The following is a 25,029-nucleotide window of genomic DNA, read 5'->3' on the forward strand; positions in this document are numbered from 1 at the left end:
CAGGTTGAAGGCTTTTTCCGCCTCCCAGGGCGGGGTCAGAGGTGTCCCCACCTGTAGCTTTTAGATCCCCAAGTGCTCGCAGGTGGGGGGTGGGCCCAGGAGGGATCCCGGGGGAGGGGCGTCCGAGCGCGCCCACGATTGGTGCGCAGGGACGCGGGGGCGGTAAAGGGAAGGGGCGGGCCCGCGCCCAGGAAGGAGGGCTTCCGCCCGGGTGAGCGCGGGGCTGCTGGGTGACCCGGCTCCTGCTTGCCCCGCAGCCCCGGCCCCCTGCCCACCATGAACGCCAGCGGTTCTGGCTACCCGCTTGCCTCGCTTTACGTGGGCGATCTGCACCCCGACGTGACCGAGGCCATGCTCTATGAGAAGTTCTCTCCCGCCGGCCCCATCCTGTCCATCCGCGTGTGCCGCGATGTAGCCACCCGGCGCTCGCTGGGCTACGCCTACATCAACTTCCAGCAGCCCGCGGACGGTGAGCCCCGGGGATGGGGCGGGAGGGGAAGGACCGACGGACAAGCAGGCGGACAGACAGAAGCCGGAACTGGGCCGCTTGCGCTTTCATCTTACACTTTGCAGCCGGGGAAACTGAGGCTCAAAGATAACAGGGCGTTGGCAGAGGCCTGGCCCCTGAGACGGGAATTGGTAATTAGTGTGGTTTACTGCTATTCCTCTACAGAGGAGAGAGATTAGGGTCGAGTGAAAACAGATACAGGCTTTGTGGGGGTGGGGGTGGGGGTCAGGCGGACCAGGGATAGAAGCCCAGCAGCCGTGTGACTCTGGGCAAGTTACTCGACCATTCTGAGCTTCAGATGCGTGTCTGGAAAATGGGGGTCCTAGCTGCCTTATAGAGTGCTTGTGAGGATGAGAGATTCAAAGCACCTGGTGAGGAAGATGCCCAAGGCAACACAGCTGGTGAGCAGGGGAGGCAGGAGAACCCAGCCTTGGGCTCAGGCCTTTCCCAGCGCGACGTGAGATCCACACTGGGCGCCTCTACCTGCACGGGCTCTGAAAAACCGCTGCCTCCAGGCCGCAAGGCCGCTTTCTCAGAGCTGATAGCATTGATTAGAGCTTGTCCGATGAGTTTGCCTGCACTTCTGTTGAGAGTGGAGAGGATGAGTGAGCTTGGGCAAGCCTTCACGCTCTGCACCTTTTCATCTGCAAAATGGGGCTAAGGCGTATTCTCCAATAACATAAAGAATGGAGAACTGCTGTCTATGCATAAAGAATGGTAACTGCTTGTTACCTCGTAAACGCTCTTAAGTGGTAACCTAAAATAAATAAATAAATAAATAAATAAATAAATAAATAAATAAATAAGGCCAGGCGCAGTGGCTCACGCCTGTAATCCCAGCATCTTAGGAGGCCGAGGTGGGCAGATCACTTGAGGTCAGGAGTTCGAGACCAGCCTGGCCAACATAGCGAAACCCTTTCTCTACTAAAAATACAAAAAATAGCTGGGCATGATGGCGGACGCCTGTAATCCCAACTGCTGGGGAGGCTGAGGCACGAGAATCGCTTGAATCCGGGAGGCAGAGGTTGCAGTGAGCCGAGACTGCGCCATTGCACTCCAGCCCGGGCAACAGAGCGAGACTCCATCTCAACACAAAACAAAACAACAAACAAAAAAGAAACAACAACGAAAATAGTGGCTTTAACATTCTGATGTAAGACTCCAGAAACTCACCCAAAAAATGGCCGGCGTCCACTAGAGGGATCCCTTGCGCCAGGTCGCCTGGGTGAACCTGGTGGTTGCCTGAGTGGGTGGTTTGCTAGGGAAGGGGTTGTTCCGCCGGGCCTGTTCCCCGCCCCTTACTGGGCTGGATTCCTGGGCACTTTTCTGTTTGTTCTGCTTTGCTCCACCTCCTGCCTCTTCCCATCTTCCTCCAAGCCCTGTGAATGAAGTGGGACTCGGCCTGGAAACCGTGCTGCAGAGAGAAGGGTTTTGCCCCAGGTATTTATGATAAGACTAGGTGGAGAATCCGGGCTTCCTGAAACTTGCTCCACTGTGTTCCCCACAGCCCCCTTCCATGTCTCTGCACTAGCAGACTCCCTGAAACAGGTCACGTGTATCACCCAGGAGAGACACAGGCTGCAGCAGTGGCCGGAGGCTGGGCATCGGCTGCTGTTTTGAGACATTATTTTGTGTCAGGCACAAAGTTACAAACAAGGCACTTTTACATACCTTCTTTATTTTTCAGTCCCTCCAACAACCTGGTAGTTGGTAGTATCTCCCTTTGTTAGGTGTGGAAAAGTAGGTAATATTACCATCATTCCCCCTTTACAGGTGAGGAACAGGCTCAGAGAGGTAATGTCCACTTTCCCCAGAGCCGGACTGCTTGAGATCTAACCTCAGCTCTGCCCTGCAGCACCTCTGAGTTTTAATTTCCTCAAAGTGCTGCCACCCCTTGTCATATGGACATTGTTATCCACTCAGTGTACTTTAGAATCCAGAATAGACCTGACGCTGCCACAGACCTTTCATGTTTCTTATTCTCAGTTTTCCCATCTGTAAAATGAGGGGCAGGAATCCATGCTCATGTGGCTGCAGGGAGTTGGTTGAATGAGATCATAACTGGAAGGTTGGGGGAGCACCATACACACTAATTCTCAGCTTATCCTTCCTGAGCCTTTGGGCTCTTATCTCAGTTATTTGGGCTCTTATCTTGGCTTATTGTCTGGGACCCAGACAATGACTTTCTCTTTATTGGCTCCCAGTTAAGCACCTCGAGGGGTGGGTGATCAAGGTAAGAAAATTCCCTAAACTTGCTAATTTCTCTCCTCTTCCTTCTGTCCAGCGGAGCGGGCACTGGACACAATGAACTTTGAGATGCTCAAAGGCCAGCCTATTCGCATCATGTGGTCCCAGCGAGACCCAGGACTTCGCAAGTCAGGTGTGGGCAACATCTTCATCAAGAACCTGGAGGACTCCATTGACAACAAGGCTTTATATGATACCTTCTCCACCTTTGGGAACATCCTCTCTTGCAAGGTAGAGGATGAAGGGTGTACGTCTTTGGGTAGATCGGTGTCAACTACCTGCCTGGTAGAGGGGTGACAAGCAACACCTCACTTTACAGTTTACAAGGTCCTTTCAGTCAAGTTTCAGGTACAGCAAGCACCTGAATGACAGCCGTTCTTTCAGTTTCATCTTCCGTGAATGACCAGACATTACCTGTGTATCAGTCAGCTCTCGCTGTGTAACCACCTTCAAATTTAGTGGCCGTCAACAACAATCATTTATTTAGCTAATAATTCCACAGTTGGCAATGGGCAAAGTTCAGCTGGGCAGTTCTTCTGGTCTTGGCTGGGTTCCCTCCTATGCCCACTGAAAGCTGAGTGGGAGCTCTCGCTGGGTATATGAGGGAGCGACTGGCTGTCAGCTGGAACATCTTGGCTTTCCTCCCTATGGCCTTTTGTCCTCCAGTAGGCTAGTCCAGGCTATTCTCATGGTATTCTCATGGCAATGGCAGGGGCTCAGAAGACAAGAGTGGAAGCACACCAGGCCTCTTGAGAACTAAATGCAGAACTGGAACCATCACTTCCACTACGTTTTTTTTTTTTAATTGAGATGCAGTCTTACTCTGTTGCCTAGGCTGGAGTACAGTGGCATGATCTCAGCTTACTGCAACTTCCTGGGTTCAAGCCTCCTGAGTTCAAACGATTCTCCTGCCTCAGCCTCCCGAGTAGCTGGAATTACAGGTGCGAGCCACCATGCCTGGATAATTTTTGTATGTTTAGTGGAGACAGGGTGGGTTTCACTGTGTTGGCCAGGCTGGTCTCGAACTCCTGACCTCCCAAAATGCTGGGATTACAGCCATGAGCCACCGCACCTGGCCTCTTTCACTACATTCTATTGACCAAAGCAAGTCACAAGACCAGCCCACATTCAGAGTGAGAGGGGAGTAGAAATTATAGGATGAAGGGTGTGGCTACAGGAAGGCCATTAATTGGGGCCATCAAGGCAATTAAGTTATTGAATCTTGTTTTTAAGATTGTCTTACATTAGATGTAAGTTCCATCAGTGATCTTGTTCTTAGTCATTATTGTATCCCAATACTTAGAATAAGATGTGAAACATATTAGGTGCTCAATAAATATATGTTGAGCCAGTGGAGGTATGTCATTTGAGAAGGATTCTGATTATTTCTCTGACTTTTTATATGAGGATGTTGAGGATCAGCGGCCATATAGCAGGTCAGTATGTCTGGAACAGAGGGCTTAAACCTGGGTGTTCTGTCTCTAGATTTTATAAGGATAGTTGATCAGTTACCCCGTAGCCTTTGGAGTGTCTGCTATTCTAGGGAGGATGGGGACAGTTTTTGTAGCCTATGTGTCAGAACTTTTTTTTTTTTTTTTTTTTGAGACGGAGTCTCACTCTGTTGCCCAGGCTGGAGTGCAGTGGCGCGATCTCAGCTCACTGCAACCTCCTCCTCCCAGGTTCACGCCATTCTCCTGCCTCAGCCTCCTGAGTAGCTGGGACTACAGGTGCCCGCCACCACGCCCAGCTAATTTTTTTTGTATTTTTAGTAGAGACGGGGTTTCACCGTGTTAGCCAGGATGGTCTCGATCTCCTGACCTTGTGATCCGCCCGCCTCAGTCTCCCAAAGTGCTGGGATTACAGGCGTGAGCCACTGCACCTGGCATGTCAGAACTTTTATCAAGTGCTACTGTGTGCCAAGCATAATCCTTAAGTTCTCAACGAGGGCTCTCAAATTCCCAGTCAATAAGAGGCTATCCCTGTGGCTCAGAGGAGCAGGTAGACTTGAGGAGATGTAGTAATGCACTAAGGGTTATCTGTGACAGAGAGACGGGGCTGTTTCCTGTCTTTGAGGATCAAAGGAAGAAAGACTCTTAACTGTGTATTAAGTTCTTCACAATAATAATGGCAGATTTATCATGTACTTTCTGTGTGTTAGGTTTTCTGCATACATGTATACTCCTTAAAAGGGTACCTGGCATACTGTTAAGCTTCTAAGTGATAACTGTAACAATCAAAGAATTACTTCTGTTGGCTGACCTTGGACAAGTCATTTATTCTCATTTTCCCTCTGGGGCTCAGAGGTTAAGAAATGACTGAAAGGATTCTCTTATGACTGGCATAGATAACAAGGGAAGTATGTAATGCCCTTAGCAGGTTCTTGACCCACAGTGGGGACCCAGTCAACGTGGTTAAATCCAAGCTGAGGCTTGAGTTGAAAGTGGAAGGCCCCTGTTTCAGGATGAGAGGTGGAGGGGTATGTGCAAGGCATGGGTTTGGAAGCAAGATCTGTTGTGCAACACCCACTGGGGAGCCTCAAATGCCAAGTTGATATAGTTCTGTGGATAGAAGCTACTAGAGATTGAAGGGATGTGGTCAGAATTACATTTTAGAAAGAGCATCACAGTGGTAGTGTGCAAGCTAGGCTGGGAGGCAGTGCTTGTCATCCAGGCAGAAAATGCCACTAGCTGAGCTGAGCCTGTAGCCACAGGGATGAGTGGAGCCACAGTCACCTTGAAGTGGGGGGTTAGTGGTCTTTCTGCGAGTTCAACAAGAGGGATGGGGGCTATGTGAACTAGAAGGTCTTTCCTTGTTCTCAAGTTCTGTCCTGCTGGCCTGAGTCAGGAGGGTTACAGAATGGGAATAGGATATTGTGCATCTTTAAAAAAATTGAGGCGGGGTGCAGTGGCTCATGCTCCTAATCCCAGCACTTTGGGAGGCCCAGGTGGGTGGATCACCTGAGGTCAGGAGTCCAGGACCAGCCTAGCCAACATGGTGAAACTCCATCTCTACTAAAAATACAAAAAACTAGCCAGGCATGGTGGCATGCACCTGTAATCTCAGCTACTCGGGAGTCTGAGGCAGGAGAATCGCTTGAACCTGGGAGGCGGGGGTTGCAGGGAGCCAAGATTGTGCCATTGCACTCCAGCCTGGGCAACAAGAGTGAAACTCTATCTCAAAAAAAAAAAAAAAAAAAATTGAAATGAGTCTGTTGTTGCAGTAATTCATGTATTGGCAAAGTTTAAACAATGTGGAAGGGAAGAAAGTGAAAAACAAGACTCCATTTCTTTCAGCCCTAGTCCCCAAAAGTAATATGAATACATTTTATGTGTCTTTTTCAAAATTTCCAATGTGTAGATGCCTACTTTAGCCTGAATGGATTTTTTTTTTCACTTAACAAGACTGTCAGGCCATGTAACCTACCACATTCTCTTCAACTGTGCACATACAGTAGACTGGTGTACAATTGAGGCTCCCCCTTGATGAATACCCCGGTTGTTTCTAGTTTGCTGATAGAAACAAGGATGCAGATATGGGGGTTTGAATCTAACCCTTTTGCCCATTGCCTTAGGAAGACAATTAAAAGCCAGTATGCAGTATAGATGAAACCTGTGTTCATTTCGTTCTCCCTCTTAAATCTGTTTTTTCTTTTCTGTTTTTATTTTTTTGACACAGAGTCTCACTCTGTCACCCAGGATGGAGTTCAGTGGTGCAATATCAGCTCACCGCAACCTCCGCCTCCTCGGTTCAAGCAATTCCCCTGCCTCAGCCTCCTGAGTAGCTGGGATTACAGGCACCCACCACCACATCTGGCTAATTTTTTGTATTTTTAATAGAGACAGGGTTGCACCATGTTGTCCAGGCTGGTCTCGAACTCCTGACCTCAAGTGATATGCCCACCTCGGCCTCCCAAAGTGCTGGGATTACAGGCATGAGCCACTGCACCCAGCCTTCCTTAATCCGTTAACTTGAGTGGTGACACTCTTTGAGCTTCCATACCCCATCCCTAACATGCAGGATTGCCTTTTCCAGGCACAGCAGGCATGCAGAGACTGGTCGTGATCACCTTTGCCATTCCTTTCTACCTGAACCCTCTGTCAGTACTCTTCCTGTCCTTCCTCCCTGTGGCCCAGGTGGCGTGTGACGAGCATGGCTCCCGGGGTTTCGGCTTTGTCCATTTTGAGACCCATGAGGCCGCACAGCAGGCCATCAACACCATGAATGGGATGCTGCTGAATGACCGCAAAGTGTGAGTGGCTGGGCCCGAGGGAGGGGCGGAGGCTGCAGGGACAGAAGCATGGCACCACCGACTAGGAATCGATGCTACCCTCAAGCTGCTAATGGGCACCAGGCACTTGAGCGGCAGGCAGCCCTCCTAGAAGTGTGAGCCCGGAGCAGCTGCTCAACCTCTCAGGGACTCTTTCCTCACATAAAGATGGAGCTGATGATCTGCATTAGAGTATGGTAAAGGAAGTGGTGATTTTAAAACTCTAGAGGGACTGGCTAATGGTCATATCATCAATGGACTCAGTGTTTTCATCTGTTTTCCAGCCTTCTCAGTATGGGGTGTATGTGTGTGTGACAGGGTCTTGCTATGTAGCCCAGGCTGGAGTGCAGTGGCATGAACACAGCTCACTGCAGCCTTGACCTCCTTGGCTCAAGTAATCCTCCTGTCTCAGCCTCCTTTGTAGCTGGGACCACAGGTGACCACATGCCACCATACCTGGCTAATTTTTTGATTTTTTTTTTTTTTTTTGTAGAGATGGGGTCTCACTTTGTTGCCCAGGCTGGTCTTGAACTCTTGGGTTCAAGTGATCCTCCTGCCTCAGCCTCCTAAAGTGTTAAAATGCTGGGATTACAGGCATGAGCTACTGCGCCTGACTTTTTCTTTAAACCTTTTGTGTTTCATGAGATTTTGGCAGAAAGAAAAGTAGGCATATGCTAAGCCTGCCCTCATCATACTGTTAACTTCGATATCATCCCCACTACACAGATGGGAAAACTGAGAGGCAGATAATAGAGAGAATCTGCCTCTGGCTGTTCCCTGCCCAGAATTTTGATTTTGTTCATCTGAGAGGCCAGCTCACATGGTCAGGGCCATGGAGAGAAGGTGGCTTTGAGCTGGGGGATGCACTGAGAGTCATTTTGTCCAGGGTTACTCAGAGGAGGGTCCAGTCAACCTGTCAAACAAATCTTGGTGGGCTTTTCCCAGTTCTCAGAAGAATGCTCTTCGTTAGCTCCAATTTACTCAAGTTCACCTTTGCCACTCAGTTTTCTTCAAATTTTGGTGCCTGGTACAACTTTGTTTGTGCTAAACGTGCTATAGATACCATCAGAATTTATTATTATTTTTTTAATCTGGGATGCTTTCCTAGATGTGTTTACATGAACTTGGAAATGAACTTTTAAAATTAATCTTGTGACTGGGTGTGGTGGCTCACACCTGTAACCCCAGCACTTTGTGAGGCAGAGGTGGGTGAATCATCTGAGGTCAGGAGTTTGAGACTAGCCTGGCCAACATGGTGAAACTCCATCTCTACCAAAAATACAAGAATTAGCCATGCGTGGTGGCACATACCTGTAATCCCAGCTACTTGGAAGGCTGAGTGAAGCAGGAGAATCGCTTGAACCCAGGAGGTGGAGCTTGCAGTGAGCTGAGATGGCACCACTGTACTCCAGCCTGGGCGATAGAGCGAAACTCAGTGTCAAAAACATAATAAATAAAAATAAAATTAATCTTGTATTTAAGTGATTTTAGTCAATGCCCCCCATAGCAACACTAGCATTGACTGCGTCTAATTCACTTACCCCTGCTTCCCCAGTGCACCCAATACATGTTAATAAGCAAAGCCCCATGATGAGAATTTGAGTCCCAATTTTACAGCAATGAACTCTGAGGCTCAGAGAGGTTAAGTAGCTTGCCCAGGGTCACACAGCTAGGCAACTGCAGAGCGAGGATTCAAGCCCTTGTCTGTCTGACTCTCAGGCTCATTCTTCTGTGCTCTCAGCTGCCTGGTATATAATAGTAATTATGTGTGCATTTGTCGCAAGAATGAAATCTTCTTAACCTTCTGCTGGGGACAAGCTCTGGAACATAATATAATATCTTGGCTATTGGAGGTAGCCGGGCCTTGGGGATGTTCTAAGGAGTATTGTCCTGCCCAGTTTCCTGATGAGGGATATGTAAGCCTGGAGAAGGGCAGCAGTTGAGCAGGAGTTGGCATGGGGGTGGCTGATGGCTGGTAGCTGTCCACAGCCATGAGCCAGTGTGTCATGTCCACAGCTTTGTGGGTCACTTCAAGTCTCGACGGGAGCGGGAGGCGGAGCTGGGGGCGCGGGCCCTGGAGTTCACCAACATCTACGTGAAGAACCTCCCGGTGGATGTGGACGAGCAAGGCCTGCAGGACCTCTTCTCCCAGTTTGGTGGGTGTGTCCCCAAGGGAGCGGGGGGATCACTGTTTTTCCTCTTCCCTTCCAAAGTCTGGTAGGGAGGAGGGGCTCTCCTGGGGTTTCCTGAGGACTTCCCAGACTCCCCTTTGAGCCAGGTTGGTCCTTTGCAGGGAAAATGCTGAGTGTGAAGGTGATGAGGGACAACAGCGGCCACTCGCGGTGCTTTGGCTTTGTCAACTTTGAGAAGCATGAGGAAGCCCAGAAGGTAGGAGCCTCCCCATGGCTCTGTTCTGCAGCAGGGGGACCGAGCTGGGACTAAGAAGAGGGTCCCAGCTGCCTGTGGAGGGGAAGAAAGTCCCTCCCCGGCCTAAGCCAAGAGGGTGGGAGAGTCCTGTGTGCAGGCAAAGCCCTTCCTTCTGTGGTCAAAGGCCAAGGGCTTCATTCTTTGGTCACTTCTAAGCCCTGATGTCCGCAGAGCTGAATATTTAGGTAGGGATGCAGAAGTCATTATTATATAAAAATATTTACTCATGAACTGACCACTTAAATCAGTTTCCACCGGGTGTGGTGGTGTGCACCTGTAGTCTCAGCCTACGTGATAGGCTGAGGCAGGAGGACCCCTTGAGCCCAGTGGTTTGAGTCCAGCCTGGGCAACATAGCAAGACCCTGTCTCTAATTTTTTAAAAACTCTCCAGATGTGATGGCTCATGCTTGTAATCCCAGCACTTGGGGAGGCTGGGTGGGAAGACTGCTTGAGTTCAGTTCGAGACCAGCTGGACAAAACGGCAAGATGCCATCTTCACACACAAAAAGGCTCTCACAGTTAGCAAAGAGGATTATTTTGTGCCTTGAAATCCAACTCAAAGTAAGGATGTTGATGATGCTGTCATGCCATTATGAGAGAATTATGCTTGCTACTTTGTTCAAATTATCCATGTGTAGTTGCAGTTAGAACCTAAATTTTTTTAAGTTCTTTAAGTTCTTTTTTCAGTGTAGTTTTAAGTTCAGAGCAACGTTTAGTGGAAGTTATGGAGGTTTTCTGTATACCCCATTCCCCCAACACATGAACAGCCTCTGCCATTATCAATGTCCTGCTCCCAAGGGTTACGTCTGTTACAAGTGATTCACTTACTTTGACACATCATTAACACACACAGTCCCAAGTTTACATTAGGATTTACTTTTGGTGTAGAGTCTAGGGGTTTGGACAAATGCATAATGACATGTATCCACTATTATGGTATCATGCAGACTACTTTCAGTGCCCTAAACATCCCCTGTGCTCCATCTGTTCATTCCTCCATGCCCCTTAACCCCTGGCAACCAATGATCTTTTTGCTTGCTCCATAGTTTTGCCTTTTCTGGGACAGAGACTATGTCACCTAGACTGGCTTCTTTCACTTAGTAATACGCATTTAAAATATGGGAATATATAAATATTTACATTTTATTTTATTTTTATTTATTTATTTTTGAGACAGAGTCTCACTCTGTCACCCAGGATGGAATGCAGTGACGTGATCTCGGCTCATTGCAACCTCCGCCTCCTGGGTTCAAGTAATTCTCCTGCCTCAACCTCCCGAGTAGCTGGGACTACAGGCGCCCGCCACCATGCCCGGCTAATTTTTGTGTTTTTAGTAGAGAAGGGGTTTCACCATGTTGGCCAGGCTGGTATCGAACTCGTGACCTCAAGTGATCCACCCGCCTTGGCCTCCCAAAGTGCTAGGATTACAGGCGTGAGCCACCATGCCCGGCCATATTTACATTGTAAATATGGGAAAATTTGCAAATCTCAATTTTATTTTTATGTTTATTTTATTAAGATGGAGTCTGTCTGTCGTCCAGGCTGTAGTGCAGTGGCGTGATCTCAGCTCACTGCAACCTCCACCTCCCAGTTTCAAGGGATTCTCCCACCTCAGCCTCCTAAGTAGCTGGGATTACAGGCACCTGCCACCATGCCTGGCTAATTTTTGTATTTTTAGTAGAGATGGGGTTTCACCAAGTTGGCCAGGCTGGTTTCGAACTCCTGACCTCAAGTGATCCAACCGCCTTGGCCTCCCAAAGTGCTGTAATTACCAGGTGTGAGCCACTGTGCCTGGCCATCAATTTTGTTTCTTAAAATACAGCCCCAGTCCGAATTTTTTTTTTTTTTTTGAGATGGAGTTTCACTCTTGTTGCCCAGGCTGGAGTGCAATGGCGTGATCTCAGCTCACCGCAACCTCCACCTCCCAGGTTCAACGATTCTCCTGCCTCAGCCTCCCGAGTAGCTGGGATTACAGGCATGTGCTTCCATGCCTGGCTAATTTTGTATTTTTAGTAGAGACGGGGTTTCTCCATGTTGGTCAGGCTGGTCTCGAATTCCTGACCTCAGATGATCCGTCCCCCTCGGCCACCCAAAGTGCTGGGATTACAGGCATGAGCCAAAGTGGGTATACTTAAATGGCCTTTGTCCTGGTACTGATTATTCTCAGCTAGTGTGGCCAGCCTGGTTTGCAGGTGGCCCCTCTAGATCCAGAAGATGAGCCTGGGCCAGGGCCACATCTGAGTGGTTACCAAGCATGTTCCCTCCTCCTTTCCCCAGGCCGTGGTCCATATGAACGGGAAGGAGGTGAGCGGGCGGCTGCTGTACGCGGGCCGGGCCCAAAAGCGCGTGGAGCGGCAGAATGAACTGAAGCGCAGGTTTGAGCAGATGAAGCAGGACCGGCTGAGGCGTTACCAGGTGAGGTCAGGCTTCCTGGTGGCAGCCACTTCTGTGTGAGAGCAGCTGTGTGTCGGGGGCCCTGAGTGGTGACTGTTTCTTCTAGTGATCCTACTTCTGGGCACTTGGCTCAAGGCGGGAATTGAATGAGCATGGGATGGCCCCCACTGCCTAATGTATAACAGTGAGAAACTGCGCACAACCCAACTGTCCAACCATCATAGGGGTTAGTAGGGGTGCTGGGGACCTTTTGGTTAGAATAATCCTTCACGTGGGACTGGTTAGCATCCCACCCAGCCCACTCAATCCCAGTTGCATCCTCTAGTCTCAGACAACCAAAGTACCCCGCATATTGCCAGATGCCCCTAGAGGAAATCCTACTCCTGGCTGAGAATAATCAGGCCAAATATGTTACATCCAAAAGTTGGAATGTTGGACAGCCTTTGAATTATGTGGAGTTAATAATTAAAGTGAATATTGTGGATCAGTGCAATTTAAAACTTCATTGGGAAGTGAACCCCTCTAAGATTTTATTTATTTACTTATTTTTTGAGACAGAGTATTGCTCTTGTCACCCAGGCTGGAGTGCAGTGGCATGATCTTGGTTCACTGCAACCTCTCACTCCTGGGTTCAAGAAAGTCTCAGCCTCCCAAGTAGCTGGGATTACAGGTGCGTGCCACCATGCCCGGCAAATTTTTGTATTTTTAGTAGAGACAGGGTTTCACCATGTTGCCCAGGCTGGTCTTGAACTCCTGACCTTGTGATCTGCCCGCCTCAGCCTCCCAAAGTGCTGGGATTACAGGTGTGAGCCACTGCGCCTGGCCTCATTTTTGTATTTTTAATAGAGATGGAGTTCATCATATTGGTCAGGCTGGTCTCGAACTCCTGACCTTAGTTGATCTGCCCGCTTTGGCCTCCCAAAGTTATGGGATTACAGGCATGAGCCACCACGCCTGGCCCCCTCTAAGATTTTTCATAAAAGTTCTAGATCCTTCATGGAGAGGGGCATATAAATATACATATCCACACAAAACACGCACACATACTCAGTAGTTCTCAGTGAGGAGCAGTTTTGCCTCCTGGGGGACATTTGGCAATGTCTAGAATTTTCATTGTCGTGTGGGTGGTGGGGTGCTACTGTCATCCACAGGGTAGAGGCCAGGGATGCTGGCAGGCATCCTACAGTGCCCAGGACAATGCCACAGCAAGGAACTGTCTGGCACAAAATGTCACTAGATCTGAGGCTGAGAAACACATACATCCTCTTGTGTACATACAGCGTGTCCAGGGGCTTTCATACCTGCAGAACAAAATACTCATCACATAATCTGCAAGAGCAGGATGCTATGCTGTACAATTGTGCGGTCTCTGTTCTCTTGTACATTCATACACTGTTGTGTTTGGGAGGTCTGGAAGGAGAAAAGTCAAGGTGCTAGAGGCAGCTGTCACTCAACAGTGAGATGCACAGACTCTGAAGTTAGTCTGCCTGGGTTGTCCTGTCTCTGCCACTTAGCTACTGTATGATCTGGGGCAACTTATTTAGCCTCTTTGTGTTTCAGTTTTGTCTGTAAAACAAGGATAAAAGTTTTCTTCACGCAGGGTTGTTGTGAGGATTAAAAATCAAAACGTGGCCTGTCGTGGTGGCTCGTGCCTGTAATCCCAGCACTTTGGGAGGCCAAGGTGGGCAGATCACCTGAGGTCAGGAGTTCAAGACTGGCCTGACCAACATGGAGAAAGGAGAAACCCGTCTCTACTAAAAAATACAAAGTTAGCTGGGTCTGGTTGCACGTACCTGTAATCCCAGCTACTTGGGAGGCTGAGGCAGGAGAATCACTTGAACCCGCGAGGCAGAGGTTGCACTGAGCCGAGATTGCACCATTGCACTCCAGCCTAGGCAACAAGAGCAAAAATCCATCTCAAAAAAAAAAAGTCTTAAAAAAAAAATCAAAATGTATGGGAAAGCTTAGAGTGGCACCTGGCACCAACATGAGTAAGTGCCCGAGGTTCCTGGGCTGGCAGGGGATGGAGGGGCAGCTCACCTGTGTTAGGGTTCTGGTCATGGGCCAGCCAGGGAGGAGCTCTGACTCCTGCTGCCCGACATCCACCATCTGGAGAGCTTGGCTTGGGCATGCTCTGCACCTCAGCCTGCCACGGGACCTGGGACATCCTCGTGGGCCCCATCTGTGAAATGGGGAATAGCTGTGGTGAGGCTGGGACCAGTGCAGATGTGTGAGAACTGCAGGGGAATTTGGGATGTGGGGGCTACAGCTTGCATGTGATGGGCACGCTGAGGGATGGGGGTACCTGGGTGCTGAGGGAGACGGGGAGCAGGAGGCTGGGCTGGTGGGGCTCCCCATGCCCCTTGTACCTGCGTCAGTTCCCTGATCTCCCCAAGGCAGTTGGGGCTTGGAGGAGAAGGGGACATCCAGCAGTTTCCCTTCCATCCCAGGGTGTGAACTTGTATGTGAAGAATCTGGACGACTCCATTGATGACGACAAACTGAGGAAAGAGTTCTCTCCCTATGGAGTAATTACCAGTGCGAAGGTGAGGACTGGGGGCACCTCCGGGGGACAGCGTTCCCCTCCATCCTCTCACCACCATCCCCCCACAACCCCACCCCTCCACCCTCTCGCCCAGCAGCCTTCAGGGGGTTGGTGCCGGCTACCCCTTCTGGGGCTCTGCTGACCCCGTTGGAGCTTGTAGCCATCTGCAGCCTTGTCTGGGCTGGAGGGGAAGAGGGTAGAAATATAGTCCCAGTCACACAGCTGGACTTGGGGCTCACTGTCACCTTGGCATTTATTGAGTGCCTACTGTATGCCAGATTCCAGAAATTCATATCTTAGTATTTCCATTGACTTTTGTTGTCTGGCCTCTGCCAGTGACATTACCCTCCTGGGCCTCCGTTTTCCCATCTGGAAAGTGAGAGGGCTGGACTTCGTCATTCTTCATTTGTTCTTCCCTATTTCTGGAGCACCAATTGTGTGCCCAACCCTGTTAGGCCCCTGAGATGTGGCAACTGGCCCATCAGCAGCTCTATGAGCTTTAGCAGATGTTGTCTTATAGATAAGGACACTGGGCTCACTGGATGGCTTTCCGACCCTGGCTTCTCATTACAACCCCCTGGGCAATTCTTAAATACACACACCTCAGTCAGGCATAGAATGTGGATCCCCGGGGTAGGGCCTGGGCTTTTTATTTTTTTTTTTTAAAGCTCCCAGAGGCTGGGCAATATGGCTCACGCCTGTAATCCCAGCACTTTGGGAGGCTGAGGCAGGCAGATCATGAGGTCAGGAGATCGAGACCATCCTCGCTAACACGGTGAAACCCCATCTCTACTAAAAATACAAAAAATTAGCCGGGCATGATGGCACGTGCCTATAGTCCCAGGTATTCCGGAGGCTGAGGCAGGAGAATGGCATGAACCCAGGAGGCGGAGCTTGCAGTGAGCCAAGATCGTGCCACTGCACTCCAGCCTGGGCAACAGCGAGACTCTGTCTCAAAAAAAAAAAAAAAAAAAAGCGCCCAGATGGTTTTTAAGATGATGATCCAGTGTTTCTTCATTCTATACTTAAATACCTGCTGTTTTACCAGGCTCTGTGGGAAACAGGAGCAAATCAGATGTGATCCTTGCTTTCAAGTAGCTTATAGTCTAGTGAGGAAGTCAGCCCGTCACTAACTCAAATGGATTATAAGATGGGGGACAGTATGGGAGGCAAAGCTACAGGAGTTCAGTGGAACAGAAGGGAAGGCTGCCTGGAAGAAGTGGCAGTAGCAGCAGTGTTTGACTTGGCTGTGAGGAGGTAGGGAGCTGGAGTGGGAATGAGGAATTTTCCAAAGAGATCAGTGTGAGTGACAGGATGGGGGGACCCGCCTGAATGATGTGATGTTGGGTTCTGAGGAAGTGGTCTAGAAGTTCTCTTTTGGCTACTGAGTCCAGTTGTAAACATCCTTCAGGGAGCCTTGTGTTTGGAGGAAAAAAGGTTGTCTTTTAGGTTAAGATCCTTTTGAAAAATGCGAGAGAAGGCTGTGGCACATGTAAATTAGGCATCAGTAAATTTGATTACACATCATAAAAAGCTATAGGTCCTCTTTCCAAGCAAATGCATATACATTTGATGTAGAAACATGGTTGAAAGCTGGAATTTTAAAGTTAATCAGGTTTAAATGTAAACCCCAGTCCTACCATTACCTAGCTGTAGAAACTGAGGCAAGTGGCTTTGCTTTTCGGACCTTGTTTACTCACCTATAAAGTGGGAGCAACATTTCTCACCTCTCCAGGTGTCCTAAGAACTACTAAAGAGGCTGCATGTACAGCATCTGCATTCAATAAGTAGTGAAATAGTGATTGTCGTAATGATTCATCATACACCTTGCATACAGCTTCAGGAGATGGACCTTCTTGAGGACTCCCCGAACAAAGGAAATGTGTAAATTTGGATTGCTTAGAGTTAAGGCACACCTGGGGTGACCATCTTTTTAACAGGACAAACGGTATAAAATGGGGATTATAAATATATCTATTTTTTGTGTGTGTGATGGAGTCTAGCTCTGTTGCCCAGGCTAGAGTGCAGTGGCGCCATCTCGGCTCACTACAACCTCCGCCTCCCGGGTTCAAGTGATTCTTCTCCCTCAGCCTCCTGAGTAGCTGGGATTACAGGCACCTGCCACCATGCCCAGCTAATTTTTGTATTTTTAGTAGAGACGGGGTTTCACTGTGTTGGCCGGGCTGGTCTCAAACTCCTGACCTAGTAATCCGCCCGCCTCAGCCTCCCAAAGTGCTGCAATTACAAGAATGAGCCACCACGCCCAGCCTACATATATATATATATTATACAATTATTTATTTATTTTGAGATAGAGTTTCCTTCTTGTCGCCCAGGCTGGAGTGCAATGGCGCGATCTTGGCTCACTACAACTTCTGCCTCCCAGGTTCAAGCAATTCTCCTGCCTCAGCCTTCTGAGTAGCTGGGATTACAGGCGCCCGCCACCAAGCCCTACTAATGTTTGTATTTTTAGTAAAGATGAGGTTTCACCATGTTAGCCAGGATGGTCCTGAACTCTTGACCTCAGGTGATCTGCCCGCCTTGGCCTCCCAAAGTGCTGAGATTATAGGCGTGAACCACTGTGCCTGGCCTATGTTATGCGATTTTATATATTTTGGTTTATTATTATTTTTTATTAGATGCAGGTTCTTATTCTGTTGCCCAGGCTGGAGGGCCATGATGTGATCATGGCACGCCACAACCTCAACCTCCTGGGCTCAAGTGATCCTCCCACCTGAGCCTCCTAAGTAGCTGGGACCACAGGCATGTGCCACCATGCCCAGCTGATTTAAAAAAAAATTTTTTTTTGGTAGAAATTGGGAGTCTTGCTGTGTTGTCCAGGCTTGTCTTGAACTCCTGGGCTCAAGCAGTCCTCCTACCTCAGCCTCCCAAAGTGCTGGGATTATAGGCATGAGCCACTGCATCTGGCCTGTATTTTGTTTTATATAAAAATAATTATGAAAATTAAAGGAATTAATGGATATAAATACTTATACCACTATCAAGTTCATGGTAAGCTCTGCATAAGTGTTAGCTTTGCTAAATTTTATCATTATTAACTACCGACTGCCAGAAGTTCTTAACAATATATATATATTTTTTTTTTTTTGAGATGGAGTTTTGCTCTTGTTGCCCAGGCTAGAGTGCAATGGTGCAATCTTAGCTCACTGTAACCTTTGCCTCCTGGGTTCAAGTGATTCTCCTGCTTCAGCCTCCTGAGTAGCTGGGATTACAGGCGCCTCTCACCATGCCCAGCTAATTTTTTGTATTTTTAGTAGAGATGGGGTGTCACTATTTTGGCCAGGCTGGTCTCGAACTTCTGACCTCAGGTGATCCACCTGCCTCAGCCTCCCAAAGTGCTAGGATTACAGGCGTGAGCCACTGTGCCCGGCCCTTTGGCTATCTGATGAAGCCTGTGGAACCCTTCTAAGAATATTTTTTAAAAACTTTTTTGAGACAGAGTCTCGCTCTATCACCCAGGCTGGAATGCAGTGGTGCCATCACAGCTCACTGCAGCCTCCAACTCCTGGCCTCAAGTGATCTCCTGTCTCAGCCTCCCAAGTAGCTGAGACTATAGGAGCACCACTATGCCTGGATAATTATTTTTTATATTACCCAGGCTGGTCTCAAACCCCTGGGCTCAAGCAATTCTTCCGCCTCTGCTTCCCAAAAATAGGCATGAGCCACCAAACCTGGCCCTAAGAATATTTTTAAATGCATAAAATAAGATTCTTAGGTGTACAAAAAAATCATACTGAAAAAATATAATGGTCAAAATACTAAAGTGAAAGCAGTATGTGCTTCTTTTATTATTTTTATTTTTATTTTTTTGAGACGAAGTCCCACTCTGTCGCCCAGACTGGAGCGCAGTGGCATGATCTTGGCTCACTACAACCTCTGCCTCCCAGGTTCAAGAACCTGGGTTCTGCCTCAACCTCCTGGGAAGCTGAGATTACAGGCACCCGCCACCATAACCAGCTAATTTTTGTATATTTTTAGTAGAGATGGGGTTTCACCATGTTGGCCAGGCTGGTCTCGAACTCCTGACCTCAGGTGATCTGCCCACCTTGGCCTCCCAAAGTGCTGGGATTACAGGCATAAGCCATTGCGCTCGGCTGAGATTAGCAATAATTAATGTGATATGAAAATATTTTCTTTTTCTTCATGACAAATTCATGGCTAATACTGCCAGGATTTTTTTGTTGTTGCCCATATTCATAATAGAAGGAAATGCTAATATGAAAATAAAGATGTCACTTTTTCCCCAATCCATGCAATTTCCCCCTAAATTGTATCCATGACCTACCTGAGGGGGATCCATGGACTCTCAGGTTAAGACCCCTCTACTGAAGGGTAGCAGAGTACAGTTTCAAAATTACTGATTAAGAGCGTGGGCTCACCAGGAGTTCAAGCCCAGCCGGGGCAACAGGATGAGACCTCATCTTTACAAAAAATGAACAAAATTAGGCATGGTGGTGCTTGTCTGCAGTCCCAGCTACTTGGGAGACTGAGTTGAGAGGATCACTTGAGGCTGAGAGGTTGAGGGTGCAGTTGAGCTGAGATTGCACCACTGCACTCCAGCCTGAGTGACAGAGTGAGATCCTGACTCAAAAAAAAAAAAAAAAAAAAAGAAAAAAAAAAAGGAAAAAAAGAAGATTTTAAAAATAACTCTAGTCCTTATGGGCTGTATGAGCCAGGCCGGTGTCTTCACCCTAAAAAAAGGTTAAAAACCCAGGGCCAGGTGTGGTGGCTCCTGCCTGTAATCCCTGCACCTTGGGAGACCTAGGTAGGAGGATCTCTTGAGACCAGCCTGGGCAACATAGTGATTGCTGATCTCTACAAACTTAAAAAAAAAAATTAGCTGGGTGTGGTGGCATGTACCTATAGCCCTAACTACTTGAGAGGCTGAGGCAGGAGGATCCCTGGAGCCCGGGAGTTTGAGGCTGCAGTGAGCTATGATCATACCACTGCACTCCAGCCTGGATGACAGAGTGAGACCCCATCTCTTTAAAAAACAAACAAATAAACAAAAAGACAAACCCTAAATGCCATGTGGGTTGGATCCTGGAAGAGAAAAAGAATATTAGGGGAAAAAAGAGTGAAATTCCAGTGAAGTCTGGAGTTCAGTTAATAGCATTGTAGTTAATAGGAGCTAATGGTATAAAATAGTTAATAGCATTGCACCAGTGTTAATTTTGTAGTTTTGAAAAATGTACCATGTTCACATTGGGGGAAACTGGGTGAAAGATATACAGCAGGCCAGGCATGGTGGCTCACGCCTGTAATCCCAGCACTTTGGGAGGCTGAGGCAGGCAGATCACTTGAGGTCAGGAGTTTGAGACCAGCCTGGCCAACATGGTGAAACCCTCTCTCTACTGAAAATACAAAAATTAGCCAGGTGTGGTGGCACACGCCTGTAGTCCCATCTACCCAGGAGGCTAAGGCAGGAGAATTGCTTGAACCCGGGAGGCTGAGGTTGCAGTTAGCCGAGATCGTGCCACTCCACTCTAGCCTGAGTGACAGAGTGAAACTATGTCTCAAAAAAAAAAAAAAAGATATATAGCAACCCTCTGTACTGTTTTTGTAACTTTTTCTGTAAATCTAAAGTTACTCCAAAGTAAAAAGGTTATTTTAACAAAAAGGCTAAGAACCTCTTCCCCAAATTCCTAAAGAACTTGGCTTGGTACTTAGCAGAGGCGATAGAAGCTTACCAGAACAATGTGTTGGGTTGAGTCCTGGCTAACGTATGAACCACAGGCTGAGTGACCCCAGACAAGTCACTCTTTCGAGTCTCTCTTATCCCGGCTGTAAAGTGGGAGCCGCGATGCCTCCCGCATCGGGAGGTTGTACATGTGAGGTGTGAAGACATGTAAAGTATCTGGCATGCAGCAGGCCTCATAGATGGGGGTGCGTGCTGCATCCCTCAAACAGCTCAGTAAACAGGGTGCACGCTACATCCCTCCATCACTCCTCAGTAAATGGGGGTGCACGCTACATCCCTCCATCACAGCTTGCTAAACGGGGGTGCACACTACATCCCTCGAACACAGCTTAGTAAACAGGGGTGCACGCTACATCCCTCCATCACAGCTTTCTCGCGGGCCTGCCCAGTGCTGGGCTTAGCCCATGGGGAGGAGGGAGGCAGCGCAGCCCCAGGAGCCTTCCTTCCCCACCCCAGCAGCTCTTGTCTTGTCTTGCTTTTAGGTGATGACAGAGGGTGGCCACAGCAAGGGGTTTGGCTTTGTGTGTTTTTCCTCCCCAGAAGAGGCGACAAAGGCCGTGACAGAGATGAACGGGCGCATCGTGGGCACCAAGCCACTCTACGTGGCACTGGCCCAGCGCAAAGAGGAGCGGAAGGCCATCTTGACCAACCAGTACATGCAGCGCCTCTCCACCATGCGGACCCTGAGCAACCCCCTCCTGGGCTCCTTTCAGCAGCCCTCCAGCTACTTCCTGCCTGCCATGCCCCAGGTGACGGCCTGCCCGCAACTCCCACCGCAGCCTTCCCCCCTGCCCCAGCAAGGCAGAGCATGAAGACTAGAGTTCTAGGGAAATGGAGGTTTCTAACTTGCTTCTGCCGAGGACTCATTAGGAAGTCTTTGTTTCCCTCTCTATAAAAGGGAGAGATAGTGTTAGTCAAATGGCATTTCCCAGTGAGAGAAGCTCGTGAATGTTGTGCTGAAAAAGACTCTTAATGATCCAGCAAGTTTGGGAAATGCTGCGTTAAGCAAGACCTACATTTTTCCTTCCTCCCTTCCTTCCCTTCCCTCCCTTCCCTCCCTTCCCTCCCTTCCCTTCCCTTCCCTTCCCTCCCTCCCTCCCTCCCTCCCTCCCTTCCTTCCTTCCTTCCTTCGTGGGGTCTCCATGTCACCCAGGCTGGTGAGCAATGGCGTGATCATGGCTCCTTCCTTCTTCCCTCCCTTCCTCCCTTCCTCCCTTCCTTCACGGGGTCTCCATGTCACCCAGGCTGGAGAGCAATGGCATGATCATGGCTCACTGCAGCCTTGAATTCCTGGGCTTGAGTGATCCTCCCACTGTAGCCTCCTGAGTAGGTGGGACTACAGGTGTGTGCCACCATGCCCAGCTAATTTTTTTGTTTATTTTAAAGAAGGGGTCTCGCCATGTTGCCCAGGCTGGTCTCAAACTCCTGGGCTCAAGCAATTCTCCTGCCTTGGCCTCCCAAAGTGCTGGCATTACAGGAGTAAGCCACCGTCCCCCGCCCTACATTTTTTTAAAAATTAAATTTTTATTTTTTTGGAGACAGAGTCTTGCTCTGTTGCCCAGAATGGAGTGCAGTGACACCATCTTGGCTCGCTGCAAACTCTTCCTCCTGGGTTCAAGTGATTCTTGTGCCTCAGCCTCCCGGGTAGCTGGGATTACAGGTGCGTGCCACCACACTCAGCTAATTTTTTGTATTTTTAGTAGAGACGGGGTTTCACCATGTTGGCCAGGCTGGTCTTGAACTCCTGACCTCAAGTGATGTGCCCTCCTTGACCTCCTAAAGTGCTGGGATTACAGGCATGAGCCACCATGATCGGCCCTAAATTTCTTTACTATCTACACTATTCTACCCTAAGATGCCAATGTCTACTGAGACTCTCCAAAACAGGCACAGATTATCCAGCATTTCCCCAGCTTAGATGGTCATTTTTTTGTGGGATGCCTGTTAACATCTCCCCTGGATGTTAATGTTCTGAGGAGCATGGTTTGGGAAAGGACCTCGTGGGACTTACAGGAAGTAGAAAGATGTCACCCATTAAAGGCCACCACGGTAAGAACATTCCTCTCCTTTTAGCAGTTGCTTAAGCTGCACAAGTTGGAGTAAGATGTCACCCTTTTTATCCAGGTCATTGGGTTAGCTGACAGGGAGCCAAGATTGAAATCTAAGATCTTTGCCCTGCAGGATTCAGGGCTAATGGACATCCTGAGATGGGAGGAAGGAGCTTTCATTACAGCCTTGTGGGTCTTGACTCACCAGTCCCTGCAGGAGCCAGTGGAGTTCCTGCCATGGTGTCCCTGAGGAGGTGTAGCTTCTCACCTACCCTGCCGCCAAGCCCCTCAGTCTGGGTCTTCTTTTCCCATGCAGCCTCCAGCCCAGGCTGCATACTATGGCTGTGGCCCAGTGACACCCACCCAGCCTGCCCCCAGGTGGACATCCCAGCCACCTAGACCTTCCTGTGAGTGACCCAGCCCCTTCCACTCTCAGACTGGCCTATTGGTGTGGGCCCCGTGAGGCAGTCATAACACAGGGATGAAACCTGGCTCTGCCACTTCCCAAGGTGGGTGACTTCACTTCTCTGAGCCTCAGTTTCCTCTTCTGAGCATGGGCCTGAATGAGACGTGTGTAAAGTACCAAGCACAGTGGTGAGCCAATGGAAGACACGCAGCTAGCCACCAGCAGTCATCACCAAAGATGCCTCTGATTTGTGACTCTGAAAATTCTTGCAAAGCTGAGAAGGTGAAATTCCTCTGGCTATATTGTTGACCAAAGGCCCTCCTCTGTAAGAGTGAATTGCACGCTCACTTGAAACTATCTTGAGGGACTAAGGTGTACAATCCTGGTGCTTATGCAGTTTGGGGCTCTAGGTAGACACGAGCTGGCTTTGAAATTGTAGATTCCTACACTCCCCCTTTCTGGAGTTCTGGGTCTAAGTGAATTGACTCCTATTTCTGTTGTGAATGTTGTAGTTTCCCTTCCCATTCTCTTGGTGGCCCTGGAAGCTTCTAGGCACAGTGTGCCACCCTGATTATTCCCACCACTCCATCCAACTTTTCTCTCTCTGTGGTGTCTGCACCACAAGCTGCCTACCCTCCAGGTGCCTCAATGGTCCGGCCACCAGTTGTGCCTCGGCGCCCCCCGGCCCACATCAGCAGTGTCAGGCAGGCCTCCACCCAGGTGCCACGCACGGTGCCTCATACCCAGAGAGTAGGTGAGTGTGGGTAGGGCCAAGGGGAATGGGGGTGGGGCAAAGTTGGCACTAGGAGTCAGGACCAGCCTCCATGGTGACCTTGCCATATGCCCTCTCGGTGAGCAAAGCTGACTTTGGAGACTGTAGCGTGGTAGTTAGCTTGGCCTCCAGTTCCTGGGACCAACTGACTATGAGGCCCTTGCTGACTACTATATCTGTCACCTAATCTTTAAAATGGGGACAAAAATAGTACCCCCATTTTATTGTAGAGAATTTAAATGTTTTTTTTTTTCTTTTTGAGGCAGAATTTCATTCTTGTTGCCCAGGCTGGAGTGCAATGGCATGATCTCTGCTCACTGCAACCTCCGCCTCCCAGGTTCAAGCGATTGTCCTGCCTCAGCTTCCCAAGTAGCTGGGATTGTAGGCATGCGCCACCATGCCTGGGTAATTTTGTGTTTTTAGTAGAGACGGGGTTTCTCCATGTTGGTCAGGTTGGTCTTGAACTCCTGATCTCAGGTGATCCGCCCACCTCAGCCTCCCAAAGTGCTGAGATTACAGGCATGAGCCACTGTGCCCAGCCTTAATTTTTTTTTTTTTTTTTTTTGAGATCGAGTCTTGCTCTGTCGCCCAGGCTGGAGAGTAATGGTGTGATCTCGGCTCACTGCAACCTCTGCCTCCGGGGTTCTAAGCGATTCTCCTGCCTCAGCCTCCTGAGTAGCTGGGATTACAGGCATGCGCCACCATACTTGGCTAATTTTTGTATTTTTAGTAGGGACAGGGTTTCACCATGTTGGCCAGGCTGGTCTCGAACTCCTGACCTTAGGTGATCCACCAGCCTCGGCCTCCCAAAGTGCTGGGATTACAGGCATGAGCCACCATGCCCGGCTTGTTGTTGAGGATCAATGAGATCATGCATGAAAGGGCTTAGCACTGGGCCTAAAGCCTGGTAAGTATTGCAGTGACTATAAACAAGGGTGTAGGTTTTGGCTGTACAGCAAGCACATCTGTTCTTTCATTCTGCAAATGTTCTCACATCCACAGTGTGCTGGGGCCCCAAGCTCAGCACTGGAGGTTCTGCGTGAACGAGGTATACTCAGTCTCTGGCCTTAGGTTGCTGCCAGGCCCTGACACCCCTGCTTATTCCTTTTTATTGTGGTAAAATACACATAACAAAATTTACCACTTAACTATTTTTCAGTGTACAGATCAATGGCATTAAGTATATTCACACTGTTGTGCACTGTCACCACCATCCACTCTCCAGAACTCTGTTCAGCTTGTAGAGCCGAAATTCTGTACCCATCAAACCATAACTTCTCGTTCCTCCTCCCGCTAGCCCTTGGCAACTGCCATTCTACTTTGTCTCTGTGAATTTGACTGTTCTTGCTTGGTACCTCATGTAAGTAGAATCATAGAGTATTTGTCTTTTTGTGGCTAGTTTTTTTACTTTACATGTCTCAGGATGTATCTATGTTGTGGCGTGTGTCAGAATCTCCTTATTAAGGCTAAATAATATTCCATTGTATGTATAGACCTCATTTTTACTTATTCATTCATCTATCAATGGACACTTTTCTACCCTTTGGGTATTGTGAATAATGCTGCTGTGAAAATGGTTGTGCAGGCTGGGCGTGATGGCTTACGCCTGTAATCCCAGCACTTTGGGAGGCTGAGGCAGGTGGATCATGAGGTCAGGAGTTCGAAACCAGCCTGACCAACATGGTGAAACCCT

The 25,029-nt window shown here is 48.9% G+C and overlaps 1 protein-coding gene across 5 annotated transcripts in view, besides 3 other annotated features; it reads left to right on the top strand.

The window, feature by feature from the left end:
* Positions 47 to 376: a silencer, noted in NCBI's record as "silent region_12950". NCBI's record gives its function as "represses an Ori minimal core promoter by ATAC-STARR-seq in GM12878 lymphoblastoid cells {active_cell/tissue: GM12878}" and the evidence as "EXISTENCE:reporter gene assay evidence [ECO:0000049][PMID:35858748]".
* The window catches only part of PABPC1L (poly(A) binding protein cytoplasmic 1 like), a 29,257-nt gene continuing 4,420 nt past the window's right edge, over positions 193 to 25,029 (top strand). The window contains exons 1-10 of one of the 5 annotated variants that reach the window (NM_001372179.1): positions 193 to 469; positions 2,793 to 2,986; positions 6,889 to 7,004; positions 9,039 to 9,178; positions 9,316 to 9,410; positions 11,727 to 11,864; positions 14,294 to 14,389; positions 20,593 to 20,859; positions 22,475 to 22,565; positions 23,190 to 23,318. In NM_001372179.1, coding sequence (NP_001359108.1) covers positions 277 to 469; positions 2,793 to 2,986; positions 6,889 to 7,004; positions 9,039 to 9,178; positions 9,316 to 9,410; positions 11,727 to 11,864; positions 14,294 to 14,389; positions 20,593 to 20,859; positions 22,475 to 22,565; positions 23,190 to 23,318 — 1,459 coding nt within the window. In that variant the 5' untranslated portion in view covers positions 193 to 276. Of the gene's footprint in view, positions 470 to 2,792; positions 2,987 to 6,888; positions 7,005 to 9,038; positions 9,179 to 9,315; positions 9,411 to 11,726; positions 11,865 to 14,293; positions 14,390 to 20,592; positions 23,319 to 25,029 lie in introns of all 5 variants that reach the window. The other 4 variants (NR_134983.2, XM_047440518.1, XM_047440519.1 and 1 more) reach the window with 4 other exon arrangements.
* Positions 6,534 to 7,034: an enhancer, noted in NCBI's record as "H3K4me1 hESC enhancer chr20:43545042-43545542 (GRCh37/hg19 assembly coordinates)". NCBI's record gives its function as "activates a minimal SCP1, AML or CMV promoter by ChIP-STARR-seq in primed H9 embryonic stem cells {active_cell/tissue: H9 hESC(primed)}" and the evidence as "EXISTENCE:reporter gene assay evidence [ECO:0000049][PMID:30033119]".
* Positions 7,035 to 7,535: an enhancer, noted in NCBI's record as "H3K4me1 hESC enhancer chr20:43545543-43546043 (GRCh37/hg19 assembly coordinates)". NCBI's record gives its function as "activates a minimal SCP1, AML or CMV promoter by ChIP-STARR-seq in primed H9 embryonic stem cells {active_cell/tissue: H9 hESC(primed)}" and the evidence as "EXISTENCE:reporter gene assay evidence [ECO:0000049][PMID:30033119]".

This window comes from Homo sapiens, chromosome 20, assembly GCF_000001405.40.
Source record: "Homo sapiens chromosome 20, GRCh38.p14 Primary Assembly".
NCBI classification, from domain to species: domain Eukaryota; kingdom Metazoa; phylum Chordata; class Mammalia; order Primates; family Hominidae; genus Homo; species Homo sapiens.